This window comes from Homo sapiens, chromosome 7, assembly GCF_000001405.40.
Source record: "Homo sapiens chromosome 7, GRCh38.p14 Primary Assembly".
Lineage (NCBI taxonomy): Eukaryota > Metazoa > Chordata > Mammalia > Primates > Hominidae > Homo > Homo sapiens.
The window spans coordinates 140299520-140317782 of record NC_000007.14 but is presented as its reverse complement, the minus strand read 5'-3'; the positions used below and the strand labels follow the sequence as shown (position 1 = coordinate 140317782).

The 18263-nt window shown below is 45.6% G+C and overlaps 1 long non-coding RNA gene across 1 annotated transcript; it reads left to right on the top strand.

Moving 5' to 3' along the window:
* The first annotated feature begins 540 nt into the window (after positions 1-540).
* LOC124901758 (uncharacterized) lies at positions 541-16500 on the top strand. The gene is made up of 2 exons (XR_007060560.1): positions 541-1528; positions 15226-16500. It is a non-coding gene; the product is annotated as an uncharacterized LOC124901758 (long non-coding RNA).
* The last annotated feature ends 1763 nt before the right edge of the window (positions 16501-18263 follow it).

Here is an 18263-nt window from a genome sequence, read left to right as displayed (position 1 = left end):
GATTGGATCACCCCTGTCACCTTGTGGGTTCTCCACACCCACTGGATCAAGCCCAAGCTCCTAAGCCTGTCATTTAAGGCACTGCATGTCTAAACCCCATGTACTGCTCTGATTTTATCTCCCCACATCCTTGTAGAAAAATGGGGCAGTTCTCTGCACCTTTGGTATCATCTCTGTCTTCCCTGGTGGAAATTGTGCTTATTCTTCAAGGCACAGTTTGTGAATCCTGCCTTTCACCAAACCAGTTAATTCTTTTTCATATCACATAGGACTCAGTGCTTATTTATTTTATTTTATTTTTTTGAGACAGAGTCTCACTCTACCACCCAGGCTGGAGCATGATCTCAGCTCACTGCAACCTCCACCTCCCGGGTTCAAGTGATTCTCCTGCCTCAGCCTCCACAGTAGCTGGGACTACAGGCACACGCCACCACGCCCAGCTAATTTTCATATTTTTAGTAGAGATGGGGTTTCGCCATGTTGGTCAGGCTAGTCTTGAACTCCTGACCTCAAGTGTTCCTCCTACCTTGGCCTCCCAAAGTGCTGGGATTACAGGCGTGAGCCACCGCGCCTGGCTGGTGGTTATTTAAAATGATCTGTGTACACTTCTTATCTCTCCTACTAGATTTAATCTCCTTGAGGTGCTTCCATCTCTGTAACCCTCAAAATGCCTTCTTCATATTCAGTATATGTTTGTGAATGGAACGTATACTCTCCTCATCTTCCTGAAGCATACAGGCATGACCTTTGCTTTTCCAAATACCCATTCCCAAGGGCTTGTGACACAAGACAGTGAGAAGGTGAAGGACAGCTTACTTTCCCCTGTGGATCCCCTTGCAATTTAATACACAGGAGCGTGAGAATGTCACACAGGCAGGTTCTTATTTAAATTCCTGGTAGCTGAGCCCAGCAGCATGTGGTGGGTTTGATTTAGTCTGTACAGCATTTAACTCTTTCTATGGATGAAAGATGAAAGTGGATAAAAGTTCTCATAGACTGTATGGGAACCAGATAGATTGAGAAATTAACTCATGTGTTGTGCAGTTACAGAGCTCTAGGTGCCGGTCTGATTTTTCCTTATAGAATCTAGAACTTAACTGACATAATTCCTGGGTACTTTCAGACACATAGCCAAACACGTAGCCAGGTGATTCATTTGGTAAATTCCATAAGGTCTGCCCTGCCCTGGAATGGCTTCTCAGCAAGGCTGTCTCAGCTAGGCTGGGAAGGAGGTGGCTTTCAGTTCCGGTTTCCAATCAGTGACTTCCAAGAACTGGTTAAGAAGCAGGAAGAATAGAAAGAGTTAGATGGTTTCTGTGTTGGGCTAAAAAAAAAACCTCTCAGATACCCAGTTCCTACAATGCATGTCTCCTGGCAGCCAGACAAGGAAGGAGAGAAACTGTGAAGGGTGCCAGGGTGCCAACAAGAGCACTCGTGTTCTTGGCAGAGCTCAGAATAGCGTTCACAGCTCTCAGTGATTCATCATCTGCAGGCCTGCCCACCCGTGATCCAAGTGACTGAGGACGGGGTGAGTCAGGCAGCTCCCTCTCCTCATCACCCTTCCTCCATGGCTCGGTTCTGTGCCCTCCCTGGGCCCTATGGGCTGCCTAGCAGAGGGGAGGCCGATGTTGCAGGGGATGCTGCCAGTGAGGAAAGGGTGCCTGCTCTGGGTCTGTGCCAGGGTGAAGCCTTCGTGGCTTCTTGAAGGACTCCCGGCTCCCCTCTGCGTTAAGCCCTAGGCACGTTTAGAGAAGAGGGGAATCTTCACTGCCAGCTCTAGGGACGGGTCTGATGGTGGGGCCCGCTTAGCCCCAGCGAGCTACTCAGTGCTCCTGCACTGATCTAGACACCACCCCTCATCATCGTATCTGCCCCTCTTAAATCTAATCTGCATTCTGTTCTCTTTCTTTCTCCCACTCTTTTCTGTTTATTCTTTTCTTTCTTCCCTTGCTCAGCAAGAATGATATTTATTTAAGACATCACAGCTGTTAAATGTTTGCCTCTGGGGATAATTTTTCGGCCAGGTGCCCCCGTGCCTCTTGGCTGGTCCACAACCGATTGCTGGCCATGATGGGAGGGGGTGGCCCGCTGCCCTCAACACTGAACTCCCTAGTGTGGGTCCAGGCCTGGGGCTCATCACAGCTACCCTGCTTTGACCCGCAACACAATCATGGGTTGAAAAACCATCCTAGTGCCATAATAGGCTTAGAAAGGGATCATTCTTCATCTGGTCAGCCAGAGCCAGGCCACAGGCTGCATGGTTTCCCTCAGCAAGGCTCTCGCTGGGTGTCCCACTTTACTTCTGCAGCGAAAAAGCCGTTTTACCTCTTTTGCCACTTTCACAAAACATTCTCTTGGATCCACTCAAGTGAAAGCTGTGAAGTGTCCTTGTTCCTCCCTCACAGAGGGAGCTCCTAGCCTTGCAGCCCTGCCTGTGTCTGTCACTTACCAGCAGCGTGCCAGGACACTGCAGACATCTAGGTTCGGGGACTTGTCTAGGAAGCCATGGCTCTGTGTGGGTGTGCAGGAATGTACTGCTTCAGAGCGTTCCTGTTTTCCCTTCCCTGTTGCTGCAGAGCACGCATGCTGCGGGGAGAATGCAGCTTTAGTAACAAAACATCCAAATATACTTATTTCCAAAAAGAGCAATGCAAGATGAAGAATGGGGTGCTGTGTGGATGATGTCCTGCGTAAGGATAGAACACAGGAGGAGCTTGAGTGCGAATAATGTTTCACTTTTTGTTCAGGAGTCAAAACTTACAATAAATACGACCAGGTCTCCAGATCACAGTGAATTCCAAACCCCGGTGGACGACCCACTTATTTCAAACATGTTATGTAACGTTGTAAAGCACAGAGGATAGGTAAAATTCACAGCCCTGGGACAATTCGGGGCACTTAGATGTGAAATGTTTGGAAATCGCTTTCATTTTTCTCATCAGAGCCATCCCATGAACTGGATAGGACAGAGACTTCGCCCCATTGAGAAGCAAGGACGCTGAGGCACAGCGAGATCATCATTCAGCGTAGATTCCAAAGGGCACAGACTTGGTTAGCACAGTCAGGCTGAGCCCCCTGATCTGTGTTTGATTTCTATCACGCTGCTCTTTTTTCAGTAAACCTCTTTCACATAAGAGATGAAACCAGCCCACCACTAATAGGACCTGTGCTCTGGGCTGTTTAATTAAAGTCGGAATGAGTTTTACTGAATTTACATGCCTTCCCTAGAACTCCATATATCCCATTTGGAATTTGTACGAAGTCCTAGGAGCAGGCTCCCTCTCTGCAGTTGCTCAGGACTCAACTCCTCTGGCGATCTCCTGACCTCATGATGTGCCCACCTCGGCCTCCCAAAGTGCTGGGATTACAGGCATGAGCCACCGCGCCCAGCCCCCATGTTAACCATTATTAAGTGTACAATGTAGTGGCATTAGTTACTTTTGCAATGTTGTGCAAACATCACCCACTGTTTCCAAAACGTTTTCATCACCCCAAGCAGAAACTGTACCATTAAGCAAGAACTCCTAGGCACCTCCACCCACCTCCCTGCCCCAGCCCTTGGTAATCTCTTATCTACTTTCTGTCTGTATGAATTTGCCTATTCTAGGTATTTCACGTAGTGCAATCATATAATATTTGTCCTTTTGTGGCTGGTTTATTTTACTTAGCATAAGATTTCCAAGGTTCGTCCATGTTGTAGCATGCATTAGAACTGAACTTTTTTTTAATGGGTGAATATTGCATTGTATGAATATATCACATATTATTTATCAGTTCCTCTGTTGATAGACACTTGGATTGTTTCCACTTCGGGTTGCAGTGAACATTGGCCTACAAATATCTGTTTGAATCCCTGTATTCATTTCTCTGGGGGAGTATACCCGGGAGTGGAATTGCTGCATTGTATAGTAATTTTATGCAACATTTGGGGAACCCACTATAGAGTTTTAAAATTCAAATTAATTAACAACTTTCAAAAATGAGGAATTCCACACAAAAATTAGATCTTTTTTTCAACTCCTTCCTTTTTTTTTTTTTTTTTTTTTTTTTTTTTTGAGATGGAATCTTGCTCTGTTGTCCAGGCTGGAGTACAGTGGCATGATCTCAGTTCAGTGCAACCTCTGCTTCCTGGGTTCAAGCGATTCTCCTGCCTCAGCCTCCTGAGTAGCTGGGACTACAGGCACCTACCATCACACCCAGCTAATTTTTGTATTTTTAGTAGAGACAGGGTTTTACCATGTTGGCCAGGTTGGTCTTGAACTCCTGACCTCAGGTGATCCACCCACCTCGGCATCCCAAAATGCTGGGATTGCAGGCATGAGCCACCACGCCTGGCTCAGAATTTTTTTCAACTTATCTTGACGTTCCTGGGTCCACCTACAGTGATATGATCTGCTGGGGATGAGTGGAAACTGCCTCCTCTAGATGGGGCATCTGGTATCCAGATTGACAAGGGCCTCACCCAGCTGGCATCAGACATTGGTCCCTGCCTGGGCCCTGCTCTGAGCCTTTGCCCCAATCCCCTCCCTTCATGAGGTTTTCCAGCCCCCTCACACAATCACTCCTTCCCTCTTATGTTCATACTCCCTCATTATTTGTTTACATGCCAGACCTCTCTCCATCTTGGCTGTGATAGTCTGAGGGTGGGGCACTTGTCTTTTCACCTCTGATTTACCCAGGACCAACAGACACATTGTTGGTGCTCATAGTCTTTGTCAAATTGAAGTTTTAAATTGATGGCTCATGCTTGTAATCCCAGAGACTCAGGAGGCTGAGGCAGGAGGATCACTGGAGGCCAGGAATTCAAGGCTACAGTGAGCTATGATTGTACCACTGCACTCCAGCCTGTGTGACTGTGTGAGACTTCAACTCTAAATAGATAGATAGAGGGATGGATAGATAGATAGATAGATAGATAGATAGATAGATAGATAGATAGAAATGGGATAGAACAGAATAGCTGAAGGTTAGGTCAGGACTAATTGGTACAGTTACCACTGACTGAATCAAACAGGTGCTAAATTGCATTGTAAAATATTATAAGAAAAGGGGAAAAAACTAAAATTGGAGAAATGAGTTACAGATTACAGGCAATGAAAGAAGGGCTAACCACTTCCTCATGTGGACTGTTTCTCCATTTAGGGTTTTCTTTTTTATCACTCTTGGTGTAGTCTCATCAAAGACATGTAAAAGGTGATTTGTGGAACTGAGCATGATCGTGTGTGTCTGTAGTTCCAGCTACTCTGGAGGTTGAGGCCAGAGGATCGCTTGAGCCCAGGAGTTTGAGTCCAGCCTGGGCAACATAGTGAGACCCCTGTGTCTAAATAAATAAATAAAAGGTGGTTTATGGAAAACAGGTACAATATCATAGAACAAGTCAAAAAGAAACAGGATCAAAATGTAATATCTAAATACAAATGCAAAAGAATGAGTTTGGATCCCTACCTCACACCATATATTAAAAAATTACTCAAAGTGGATCATACATCTAAATGTAAGAGCTAAAACTAGAAAACACTTTGAAGAAAACATAGGACTAAATCTTTGTGATATTGAGTCAGGCAATGGTTTCTCAGATCCACACCAAAAGCACAAGCAACAAAAGAAAAAACAGATACACTGGACTTTATCCAGTAGAAAACTTTTGTGTTTCACAAGACACCAGGAAGAAAGGAAAAGACAGCTCACAGATGGGAGAAAATATTTGCAAATCATATACCCAATAAGGGACTTCCGTCCAGACTATATAAAGATCTTTTACAACTCAACAACAACAAAAAGACATGACCCAGTTGAAAAACAGGCAAAGGATCTGAAGACACATTTCTCCAAAGAAGATTTACAAATGGTCAATAAGCACATTAAAAAAGCTCAACATCATTAGTCAGTAGGGAAATACAAATAAAAACCACAATGAGATATCACTTTACACCCACCAGGTTGGCTATAATAAAAAAGATGGAGAATAACAAGTATAGTGAATTTATGGAGAAATTAGAATTTTCATACATTGCTGGTAGAATAGTAAAGTGTTATAGCCACTTTGGAAAACAGTTTGGTGGTTCCTCAAAATGTTAAACATGGCTAGTGTGGTGGCTTACATCTGTAAGCCCAGCACTTTGGGAGGTGGGGGTTGCAGTGAGAGATGGGGGTTGCAGTGAGATGAGATTGCTCCACTGCACTCCAGCCTGGGCAACAGAGTAAGACTCCATCTCAAAAAAAAAAAAAAAAAAAGTTAAACATAGAGTTACAAGGCTGGGCATGGTGGCTCACGCCTGTGGTCCCAGCACTTTGGGAGGCCAAGGTGGACAGATTGCTTGAGCCCGGGAGTTTGAGAGTAAGCCTGAGCAACATGGCAAAACCCTGTCTCTACAAAAAATACAAAAGTTAGCCAGGCATGTTGGTACACACCTGTGGTCCCAGCTACATGGGAGGCTGAGGCAGGAGGATCACTTGAGCCCAGGAGGTCAAGGCTGCAGTGAGCCATGTTCATACCACTGCACTTCAGCCTGGGCAACAAAGTAAGATCCTGTCTCAACAAAACAAAAACCCTAGAGTTATGTTCAAAAAAATTCTACTCTTAGGCATGTACACAAGAGAAATGAAAACATATGTCCACACAAACACTTGTACATGAGTGTTCATTGTGGGATTATTCATAATAGCCAAACGATGGAAACAACCCAAATGTCCATCAACTGATAAATGGATAAATAATATGTGGCATATCCATGCAATAAAATATTACTCAGCCATGAAAAGGATTAAAGTGCTGATACATACTTTAGCATAAACCCACCTTGAAACATTTTGCTAAGTGAAAAAAGAAGCCAGTTACAAAAGACTAGATATTGTATGATTCCCTTTATATGAAATGTTCCAAATAAGCAAATCTATTGAGACAGAAAGCAGATTAGTGGTTGTCTGAGGCTGGAGTGTTGGGGAGGAGGGAAATGAGGAGTGACTGCTGATGGGTACAGGGTTTCTTTTGGGGGTGATGAAAATGTTCTAAAATTAGATTGTGGTGATGGTTGCACAACTGTGTGAATATATTTAAAACCACTAAATAAAAAATTGTAAAAAAGAGAAAACAAAGCAAGCAGACAAAAATCACTGAACTGTAAAAGAACTGAAAGAGGACCCAGATATAAAACTCTATTCATTCCTTTTACTTCAGTAATAAAATACTCCTCAGAGGTGACCGAAAAAATGCGCCTGAAGTTGTTTACACTAAAGCTTTACAGATGACCTGGCATGGTGTGTTGTTTGCTTTAAAATGCTCCACATACTGCCCCATGCAAAGTGACCTTGGCTGGGGGCTAGATGAAATACAATGGGCAAAATTCTTCATAAAAGCTGGGGATGGGCACATGGGTGTTCATTACGCCACTCTATTTTTGTGAATGTTAATTTTTTTTCCATAATAAAAGTTAAAAAAAAGAGACAGAATGAAAGCATCTGTAATCTGCAGTTCCGTAGTTACACATAAAATGTGTATTTGTGTGTGTGTGTGTGTGCATTTGGGGAGCTGTGTGTGGAGGTCTGTGGCTGTGGACTGACACACCTGTGTTTCTGTGAACCTGCATTTCTGTGGACGAGGGCAGGGAGGGATTACCGGAAGGAGAGGAGAGGACAAAGCCATCTGGGGATGTGTGACTTTGCTAGGGCTGTGTAAAAGTGACCACAACCTGGGGAGCTTAAAACAACAGCAATTTCTTTTCCTTTTTTTTTTTTTGGAGACCAAGTCTTGCTCTGTTGCTCAGGCTGGAGTGCAGTGGCATGATGTTGGCTCACTGCAATCTCTGCCTCCTGGGTTCAAGTGATTCTCCTGCCTCAACCTCCCAAGCAGCTGGGATTACAGGTGTGTGCCAACATGCCTGGCTAATTTTTGTATATTTAGTAGAGACGGGGTTTCACCATGTTGGCCAGGCTAGTCTTGAACTCCTGACCTCAGGTGATCCACTGCCTCAGCCTCCCAAAGTGCTGGGATTATAGACATGAGCCGCTGCGGCCAACAAAAAACAGTGATTTCTTCTGTCACAGTTCTGGAGGCTAGAGGTCTGCAGTCAAGGTCTCTGTTGGGCTGGCCTCCTTCTGAAGACTCCAGTGGGGAATCCTTCCTCGCCTCTTCCAGCTTCTGGTGTCACCAACAATCCTGGGTGGTCTGTTGCTTGTAGATGCACCGCTTCAATCTCTGCCTCCGTCATCACGGGACATTCTCCCTAGATCTCTTCACATTGTCTTCCCTCTGTGTTGTGTGTATCTCTGTCTCTGTTTCCTGATCTTATAAGGACCCCAGTCATAGTGGAGTAGGGCCCACTCTAATTAAGTATGACCTCGTTTAAACTTGATTATATCTGCAAAGATCCTATTTCCAAATAAGGTCACCTTTACAGGTAGTTGGGGTTAAGAGTCAATATATCTTTTTGGGGGACACATTTAACCTACAAAAGGGCAGAAGGCAGGATAAGCAGAGACAGATTCTTAGACTGTAAATTCAGAGAGCTGAAGCCCCAGCTGCCTCATAGGCGGGCTGCAGAGGACACAACATTTACAGTGATTAGACTTGACCTTAATGCATCATTCGCTGGCCAACTTTATGTTTTCCAAACGGAGACAAGCCTTTTCTGGAACCCATTTCCCACTCAGCAGTTTGGACTGAGGAGTGACACATCTAGACCCTTCCAATCGATCAACCCTTTTCACTAGAAAGGTTTGGGGGATAATTCTAATGTGTATTCACTTGAGAAATGTTTCAGGCCAGGTGCAGTGGCTCACGCCTGTAATCCTAGCACTTTGGGAGGCCAAGGCTGGTGGATCACGAGGTCAGGAGTCCAAGACCAGCCTGGCCAAGATGGTGAAACCCCGTCTCTACTAAAAATACAAAAACTAGCCGGGCGTGGTGGCAGGTGCCTGTAATGCCAGCTACTCGGGAGGCTGAGGCAGAGAATTGCTTGAACCCAGGAGGCGGAGGTTGCAGTGAGCCGACATCGTGCCACTGCACTCCAGCCTGGGTGACAGAGCAAGACTCCGTCTCAGAAAAAAAAAAGAAAGAAAGAAATGTTTCAGAAAAAGCTAGTTTCTTACTCTTTGACACAGACATGTCCGTTTAGACTTTATCTTCTGAGCTGGCGGCTAAAGTTATTTTAGACTCTACAGTTAAATTGACCCAGAAATAATTCCTCCTTTGAAAGTTCCTTTGCAATGTTATTCACTCTGACTCTAACTTCAGGTTACATTGTGCTGTTCTTTGCTCTTTAATCTCACTCTGGCCTTTCACCAAAAGCAGTAAAATCCGACTTCTGTATTAAATGGTACTTGTATATAATATTATTTGGGTAAACCAGATGTCTAATAATTGCAATATATTTTCATATGATTGTTTGAAGAGTTTCATGGAAAAAGTGCAAGCCCCTCAAACTTCCCGAACTGTGTGAGCTGTTTACTGTTGAGAACTTTCCAGAGGAAAGTTGGAGGGAGCAGAAAGCTGAGGAGAAGGAGCTGGACTTTGGGCTTTGTTTGCCTGTACTCTCTCCACTGTTACCTTCAACCTACATTTCAGCTCCAGTCCATAGGAGTCATTTGCAACCATCTGTTTTCATCTCTTTGCTCCCAGGAGTGCGGAAAAAGGCAAGAGCAGGGAGGAGCTGAAGTTTTGCAGAGGTTAGGGAGAAGGTTGGCTTGACCTAAGTGGAGAGAGAGGAGGGCGGGTTTTTTTTGTTTTGTTTTGTTTTGTTTTTTTGTTTTTTTGAGACGGAGTTTTGCTTTTGTCGACCAGGCTGGAGTGCAATGGCATGATCTTGGCCCACTGCAACCTCTGCCTCCTGGGTTCAAGTGATTCTCCTGCCTCAGCCTCCTGAGTGGCTGGGATTACAGGTGCCCACCACCGCACCCAGCTAATTTTTGTATTTTTAGTAGAGACAGGGTTTCACCATGTTGGCCAGGCTAGTCTCAAACTCCTGGCCTCAAGGGATCCACCCGCCTCGGCCTCCCAAAGTGCTCGGATGACAGGCATGAGCCACCGTGCCCGGCTGAGAGCTGGGATTTGAACCACTGTCAGTTCCTGAACAGAGATTTAAGAGATTGATGAGCACTAGATGAAATCTTAATCCTCCGTCATTGCTGGTGCTTATGTAGACGTGGGAGAATAGGAGGATAACAGTATCCAAACAGGCTGATAGTATTTCAGGAGCTTCCATGGGTTGCTTGAGTCCTCAGGGCTAGGCATGGTGCTAACAGCTTTATGTGCATGCGGCACCTGCCGGCTGCCCTGCTTCTCTATCCTATGTGCGATGGGAATTCATTCTTTTACCTGGCCTGGGCTCTTCCATTTTGCTTTTCAAAAACCCACATTTACAATAGACTCTCATTTTTACAGTAAAGCGTACCATAGAATCACTTTACATTGCAAGTTCTCCCTCCTCCTATAGTGCAATTAATCTACTCTATTCAATTGGCAGAAAGTCTGTTTACAAAGAGCTCTGTGAGAGGACACTTGTCTTCAAAGCACGGAAACAGAAATAACAGAAAGACTCAGCTTCATTGATGGCCCACTTACCGCAGGCAATATTTAATGCAATATAATTAATTGTACTTCTAGAAAAGACTGGACTGAGGGCCTAGGAGCTTTTTATAACCGATTGAAAGACACCAGAGACTCTACCCCTAATGTCCAGCCAGAACCCGCCCCTAGCCCACAATACAGCCAGGCGCACTTTTTTTTTTTAAGCTATCCATTTAAAAAAAAAGATTTTCCAAGGCGAGCACATTATTTCCTTTGTTAGTTTGGATCAGAGTCTGATATCCCTAACAAGTCAAAGTTGTTCTTTTTAGCCCTTCCGACAATTTGAGTCTGTTCCTTTGAAGTTGTGCTCTCGGTGGAGATGGAAAAGAGACTCACCTTTCAGCGTATGGAAACTCTGTTCCATTCCTGTGAACTGTTAATGCGCACATTTAAATCATTGCTACTTTCTTCTCTGGTGTTAGTTTCTGACCTCTTGGTTATTTTCTGTTTTCCATTGGACTTTTCGGTTGCTCCCTGTTTCTTTTTAAAAGTAGCACCTCAGTCTGTTCACACTAGAAAATGTTTGGCTTATTTTGCATGTCCCTTTTCTCAAAGGATAAAGGGAACAACCGTTCCTACGAATTGCTGACATCTCTGTGGAGGCCAGCTGCTAAGTGAAGGAAAGCGTGGCCGTGACTTGCAGGAGATCAGAGGCCCCCAGGCTCCTTCAGGCCAACCGACATCCAGATGAGGGCTTCTTGCTTCTTTTAGATCCATGCTCTGAACCCAGATGATGGTCTTGGATGGCTGCTGTAGTCAGGACTCTAGCCAACCTAACCCATGTGCCTTATGTTAACTTACAGTATTAAGCAAACATTTGCTTGTTAATCTACAATCTTTTTTTTGTTGTTGAGATGGAGTCTCACTCTGTCACCCAGGCTGGAGTGCAGTGGCATCATCTCGGCCCACTGCAGCCTCTGCTTTGTGGGTTCAACCAATTCTCCTGCCTCAGCCCCCTGAGTGGCTGGGACTACAGGCACCTGCCACCATGCCCGACTAATTTTTGCATTTTTAGTAGAGACGGGGTTTCACCATGTTGGCCAGGCTGATCTCAAACTCCTGACCTCAAGTGGTCTGCCTGCCTCAGCCTCCCAAAGTGCCAGGATTACAGGTATAAGCCACTGTGCTTGGCCTAATCTGCAATCATTATTCCAAGTTCTTGCCACTACCCTTAAGCAGGTTCTATGTGAGTGGTCCTCCTGATCTGCAGTGGACTGCTGCTTTAACTTGGCTGAATAACAACTATTATACCACACCCTTGTGTCCTGCAATGCAGTTTAGACACATGAGAAAATAGTACGAACCTCAGCCCAGTTCAGTGGCTCATGCCTGTAGTCTCAACACTTTGGGAGACCAAGGTGGGAGGATCACTTGAGCCCAGGAGTTCGAGACCAGCCTGGCCAACATAATGAGACTCTATCTCTACTAAAAAAATAAAAAAAATAAAAAAATAATTGACCAGGCATGGTGGTGCATACCTGTGGTCCTAGCTACTCGGGAGGGAGGATAGGAGGTCCAGGCTGCAGTGAGCTGTGATCATGTCACTGCACTCCAGCCTGGGTGACAGAGCAAGACTCTGTCTCAAAAAGAAAAAAGAAAAAAAGCCGGGCATGGTGGCTCATGCTTGTAATCCCAGCACTTTGGGAGGCCAAGACAGGTGGGATCACCTGAGATCAGGAGTTCAAGACCAGCCTGGCCAACATGGTGAGACCCTGTCTCTACTAAAAATACAAAAATTAGCTGGGCATAGTGGTGGATGGCTGTAATCCCAGCTACTTGGGAGGCTGAGGCAGGAAGATTGCTTGAATCCGGGAGGCGGAGGTTGCGGTGAGCTGAGATTGCGCCATTGCACTCCAGCCTTGGTGACAGAGCGAGACTCCGTCACACACACACACACACACACACACACACACACACACACACACACACAAAAGAGGATATAGAACCAGCCCTGTAGATTTTGTGCCAGCTCTCAGGGGACTTCCTGCACCACTTGGACTATCATTCTTCCAGATCAGGTGTCCCCAGGGATCGTCTGCAGTGGTTACAAACAACACTTCACAAAATGTTAATAGCCACGAATCTATTTTAATGTGTATTAGAAAAAAATATGGCTGGGCATGGTGGCTCATACCTGTAATCTCAGCACTTTGGGAGGGCGAAGTGGGCAGATCACTTGAGCCCAGGAGTTCAAGACCAGCCTAGGTGACATGGCAAAATTCTGGCTCTACAAAAACACAAAAATTAGCCAGGTGTAGTGGCATACGCCTGTAGTCCCAGCTACTTGGGAGGCTGAGGTGGGAGGATGGCTTGAGCCTGGGGGGCAGAGGTTGCCATGAGCTGAGATAGTGCCACTGCACTCCAGCTTGGGCAACAGAGTGACACCCTGTCTCAAAAAGAAAAATTATAACATGCACATAAAACCTGAGACATGCATTTCTTTTCAAAAGTCATCAAAGTTAAAAAGTGAGTCCTATTTAGAGACTATTAACCAAGTAACTCTAGGAGGCAGTGTGTGACTACGGAGAACACCCTGAAGGCCTAAAACCCCTTATGGGGAGGCTCTGAAGGCCACCCCAAGCCCTTTCATTTTTCACTCCTCCATCTTCATTACTCCTTCTCTCTCCAAGTTCTTCATCTTCTGGGCCTGTTTCTCCTTCCCTTCCTCCCTCTAAGCTTCTCTGGTGGTGCCCTGGGTTTTAACAGGGAGAAGGAAAGAGGCTCACATTTAGTGATCATGAATTACTTGCTAGAAGGTCACAGATGTAAGGCAGATACTGTCTACTAGTGGGGCTTTGGGTGATTTCTCTGGAGTACTTTTTGAATTTGCATGTGTGAGTCACCTGAAGATCTGGTTAAAGTGCAGATTCTAGCCCAGATGGTCTGGAGTGGGGCTGAGATGTTTTCATTTCTAGCAATCTCCAAATGATGCTGCGGTGGTTGGTTCGTGGGCCACACTTGGAGTCACAAAGGTTGATCATGGAGCTCTATTTCTTTTTTCCTTTTTTCCTTTTTTTTTTTTTTTTTTTTTGAGATGCACTCTTGCTCTGTCGCCCAGGCTAGAGTGCAGTGGCGCAATCTCAGCTCACTGCAACCTCCCCGCCTCCCGAGTTCAAGAGATTCTCCTGTCTCAGCCTCCTGAGTAGCTGGGACTACAGGCGCATGCCACCACGCTCAGCTAATTTTTTGTAATTTTAGTAGAGGCGGGGTTTCACCATATTGGTCAGGCTGGTCTCGAACTCCTGACCTCAGGTGATCCACCCACGTCGGCCTCCCAAAGTGCTGAGATTACAGGCGTGAGGCACTGCGCTAGGCCATGGAGCTCTATTTCTTTAGAGAACTAAGAACAGAGAAATACATATTTTAGGAAGAGGATGAGTTCTGAAACCACCTCTATCATCTGCAGTGAAGCCAATTATTAAGAACACTTAAGAGTCTAGCATGTTTTGCTCTCTGGAAGAAATATAAGATGGTTCCTTTATACTGACCAAGGCAGTTTGTAATGAAAACTGTTGGCTCAACTTGTTGCTAGGGTACCGCTGGGGAACTGGCACACAGAAAATCTGTAACCTAATGTGATTGTGTGGGAACTAATGAGCTCTGAACATGACAGGCAGGGAGGGTTCTGCTTCCCTCCTTTGCTCAGGTGATGGGCTAACACCCATGTCCAATTAGGCAAACCTGGCATGTGTAGCCATTCGGGGCTGCTGCAGAGCTGTTTCTCTGGGTAGAGAAAATTGGATTGTTGAATTGTTCCAAATATATTGGTATGCTCCCGTCTCCCATCCATTTGGTTATGATAACCAGACCTGCAGACACGTTCTGAGGGTTAGAATAGCTCCAGCATTTAGAAAACAAGCCAGCCAAATACAAAAGGACCCAGATTGAGGTTATATGAAAATTGATGGACGTGATTCAGGACCTTGCTATTTTAAATGAAATGACCTTCACCTGAAGAGATCAGAGGGCGACGCTATTAAGAGGTGTTGCACTTTTACAGTATTCTTTCTGTTAGGGCAGAAAAACTTATGGAAGGAAAAAGGCAAAGTGAATCACCTTTTCTTAAGATTCAGCTGGAACCAGACACTTAGCAAAAGTGATGCTCTGCAGCTGACACAAGTAGCCACATGATTGTGGAATGATAGTGCTCCAAAATGTTCTTGGGGGCTGGATGTGGGGGCTCACACCTGTAATCCCAGCACTTTGGGAGGCCAAGGCAGGCACATCACTCGAGGTCAGGAGTTCGAGACCAGCCTGGCCAACATGGGGAAACTCCGTCTCTACTAAAAATACAAAAATTAGTCAGGTGTGGTGGCAGGTGCCTGTAATGCCAACTACTCGGGAGGCTGAGGCAGGAGGATTGCTTGAACCTGGGAGGCGGAGGTTGCAGTGAGCCGAGATTGCACCACTGCACTCCAGCCTGGGTGACAGAGGGAGGCTCTGTCTCAAAAAAACAAACAAACAAAAAAATTATTGGGTATTACTGAGCATGATGGTGTTTAATTTTGGGAGGGGATGGGGGTAGTTATTCCGGACTCCCTTCCCCTCGAATACACACATGCATAATCTTCCATATAATTTCCAGGGATTAATGGATTCCCTGGGAGATCCAGGGATTTCAGGTTAGAAACCTCTGATGTAATACATTTCCTCCTTTTCAGAGATGAGAAAATCAAGGCCCAGAAAGAAGGTGACTGACTATTGGTCTCAGCAACACTGACAGTGAACAAATCAAACAAGAAGGCAGGCACGGTGGCTGATGCCTGTAATCCTGTCATTTTGGGAGATGGAGGCGGGTGGATCACTTAAGCCCAGGAGTTCAAGACAAGCCTGGGGAACATGGCAAAGCCCTGTCTCTACAAAAAATACAAAAACTAGCCAGGTGTGGTGGCACGCATCTGTAGTCCCAGCTACTGGGAAGGCTGAGAGGTGGGAGGATCACTTGAGCCCTGGAGGTTGAGGCTGCAGTGAGCCATGATTGCACCACTGCCCTCCAGCCTGGGCGACAGAGTGAGACCTTGTCTCAAAAATATTTTAAAAATTAAACAAACAAGAGGGCTTAAGTGTCACAACCATCAATGGGGAAAGTGTCCGTGCATAATTTATTTCTGGAAGCCCTGAGAAGAACAAGCATCAACAGCTTTCTGAGAGACTTATAACTTTTAGCTGAGGGAATCTCAATATTTAACCAAATAACACTTGAAGAAAAGCAGAAATCATCGAGACAGCAGCTCCTGGGAACTAGGTTTTATGATGTGTTCTAAAGACATAAGCGAGAAGCCTGCTGTCACTTGTTAGCTGTGTGCTGAAGTGCAGTTTGGGGTGTCTTTAGGGCAGGTAATAAATTCCTTTCAGAGATTGAAATCACATACCAACGTGAATCTTCCACATCCCTGAAAACTACTTAGGCAAGATGCCTCACATGACACGGAACTCTCGATTTGGCAACACATGTTGGGGTTCAGCCCCCCACAATCCTGGCACAGTGTGGGTGCTCGCTAAATATTTATTTGGATAAAATGGGCTTTCCTTAACTTTACAGTTTTCTGGGGATAGAAGACTCAGGAAACATGAGAGAGCAGTATAAAATGTGTAAGTACACAGTGGAAGGCTGGGGTTCCTAGTGAGGATTTTAGAATCTCACAAACGAAAGCAGCCAGACACAAAAAAATACGTGCAATATGATTCCATGTACATGAAGAACAAATGTGGATCAAATTAACTTATGCCATTAGAAGCGAGAATATTGGTTACCTTTGGGGACCAGGGTTGGGGGTGAGTGTCTGGGAAAGAGAACTTCTAGGGTGCTATTAACCCTAGCCCTATTCTATTTCTTAATCGGGGGGCTGGGTGCCTCTATGGATTCACTTTGTGATAATTTATCAAATGGTTCTGTATGTGTGCTCTATTTTAATAAAAACATTTATTTAAAAATACACACACAATGAAAGATGTAGGCCAGTCCTTCCCAACCTTGAACGTGGGTACAGGTCACTTGGGATCTTACTAAAATGCAAAATTCAGGCCAGGTGCAATGGCTCATGCCTGTAAATCCAGCACTTTGGGGGGCTGAGGCAGGAGGGTCACTTGAGCCCAGGAGTTTGAGACCAGCCTGGGCAAGACAGGGGGATCCTGTCTCCTCTACAAAAAAATAAAAAATTAACTGGGCGTGGTGACACATGCCTGTAGTCCCAGCTACTCAGGAGGCTGAGGTGGGAGGATCGCTTGAGCTCCGTGGTTGGCGGGGTAGGTGTCAGAGCTACAGTGACCTATTACATAATATAATTGCGCCACTGCACTCCAGCCTGGGCAAGAGTGAGACCCTATCTCAAAAAAGAAAAAAAGAAAAAAAAAAGCAAGATTCAGATTCATTTGTCCTCTGGTATGGCATTTGATTCTGCATTTCTAGAAAGGATCTAGAGACCGGTATTGTCAGGATCCTTTTTTTAGGGAGATCCAGGGATCTGGTAAAAGTAGCCTAGGCCTATCCTGTTAACCTATTGGGCTGTTAACCGACAGGACAGCAGTTCCCAAGCCAGCCCGTGCTCTCGTGTGGGTCTGTGACGTTCACCTGCTCACAGCACCTTTGAAGGTGATTTTCCAACCGCTGGGTGGTGACCAGAGCCTGAAGTTGGGCTACCCCAGTGGGTAATCGACTGGTGACCAGCCCTTGAAGCCCACATTAGGGCCCTGGACTGCCTGCCCCATAGAAACCACTGGAGACCTGGAGGCTGTTACCCACAAATTGCATAATGAGGGCATGAGGAGCCTTGCTTCCCTCTCCATCCACAAGTGTGGGTGAAACTGGGTTTTCATCAATGACTGCTGCATAAATAAAGTGGCCATTCCAACTCCTCCTCACAGGGCTCTGGTGAGCCCTCGTAGGCTGAGGTGAATGGATCACAAGGTCAGGAGTTCAAGACCAGCCTGGCCAACATAGTGAAACCCTGTCTGTACTAAAAATACAAAAATTAGCCAGGTGAGGTGGCCTGCACCTGCAGTCCCAGTCCTGGAATGGTCTGAATATTTGTGTGCCCCACGAAATTCATATGTAAAAATCCTAACCCCCAGTGAGCTCCCTCACCAGTTCGGCCATGTGAGGACTCAGGGAGAAGATGGCAATCAGTGAGCCAGGAATCAATCAAGAAAACCATTATTTTGAGTGGGGGCTGGGTGTGGCGGCTCATGCCTGTAATTCCAGCACTTTGGGAGGCAGAGGCAGGTGGATCACTTGAGGTCAGGAGTTCGAGACCAGCCTGGCCAACATGGTGAAACCCCATCTCTACTAACAATACAAAATCAGCTGGGGTGAGCATCTGTAATCACAGCTACTCTGGAGGCTGAAGCAGGAGAATCGCTTGAACCTGGTTGGCGGAGGTTGTAGTGAGCTGAGATCATGCTACTGCACTCCAGTCTGGGCAACAGAACGAGACTTCATCAAAATAAAAAGAACAACAACAACAAAAAAGAAAACCATTATTTTGAGGAGGGGGAAAAGAAGCAAGTCATATACAACATGATTCCTTTCACAGAAACAGTAAAAGCAAGCTGGGTGTGGTAGTGCATGCCTGTAGTCCTAGCTGCTCAGGAGGCTGAGTGGGAGAACTGCTTGAGCCCAGGAGTTCAAGGCTACAGTGAGCTATGATTATGCTGATGGGCAGCCACTGGGAAACATAGCAAGACCCCATCTCTAAAAAAA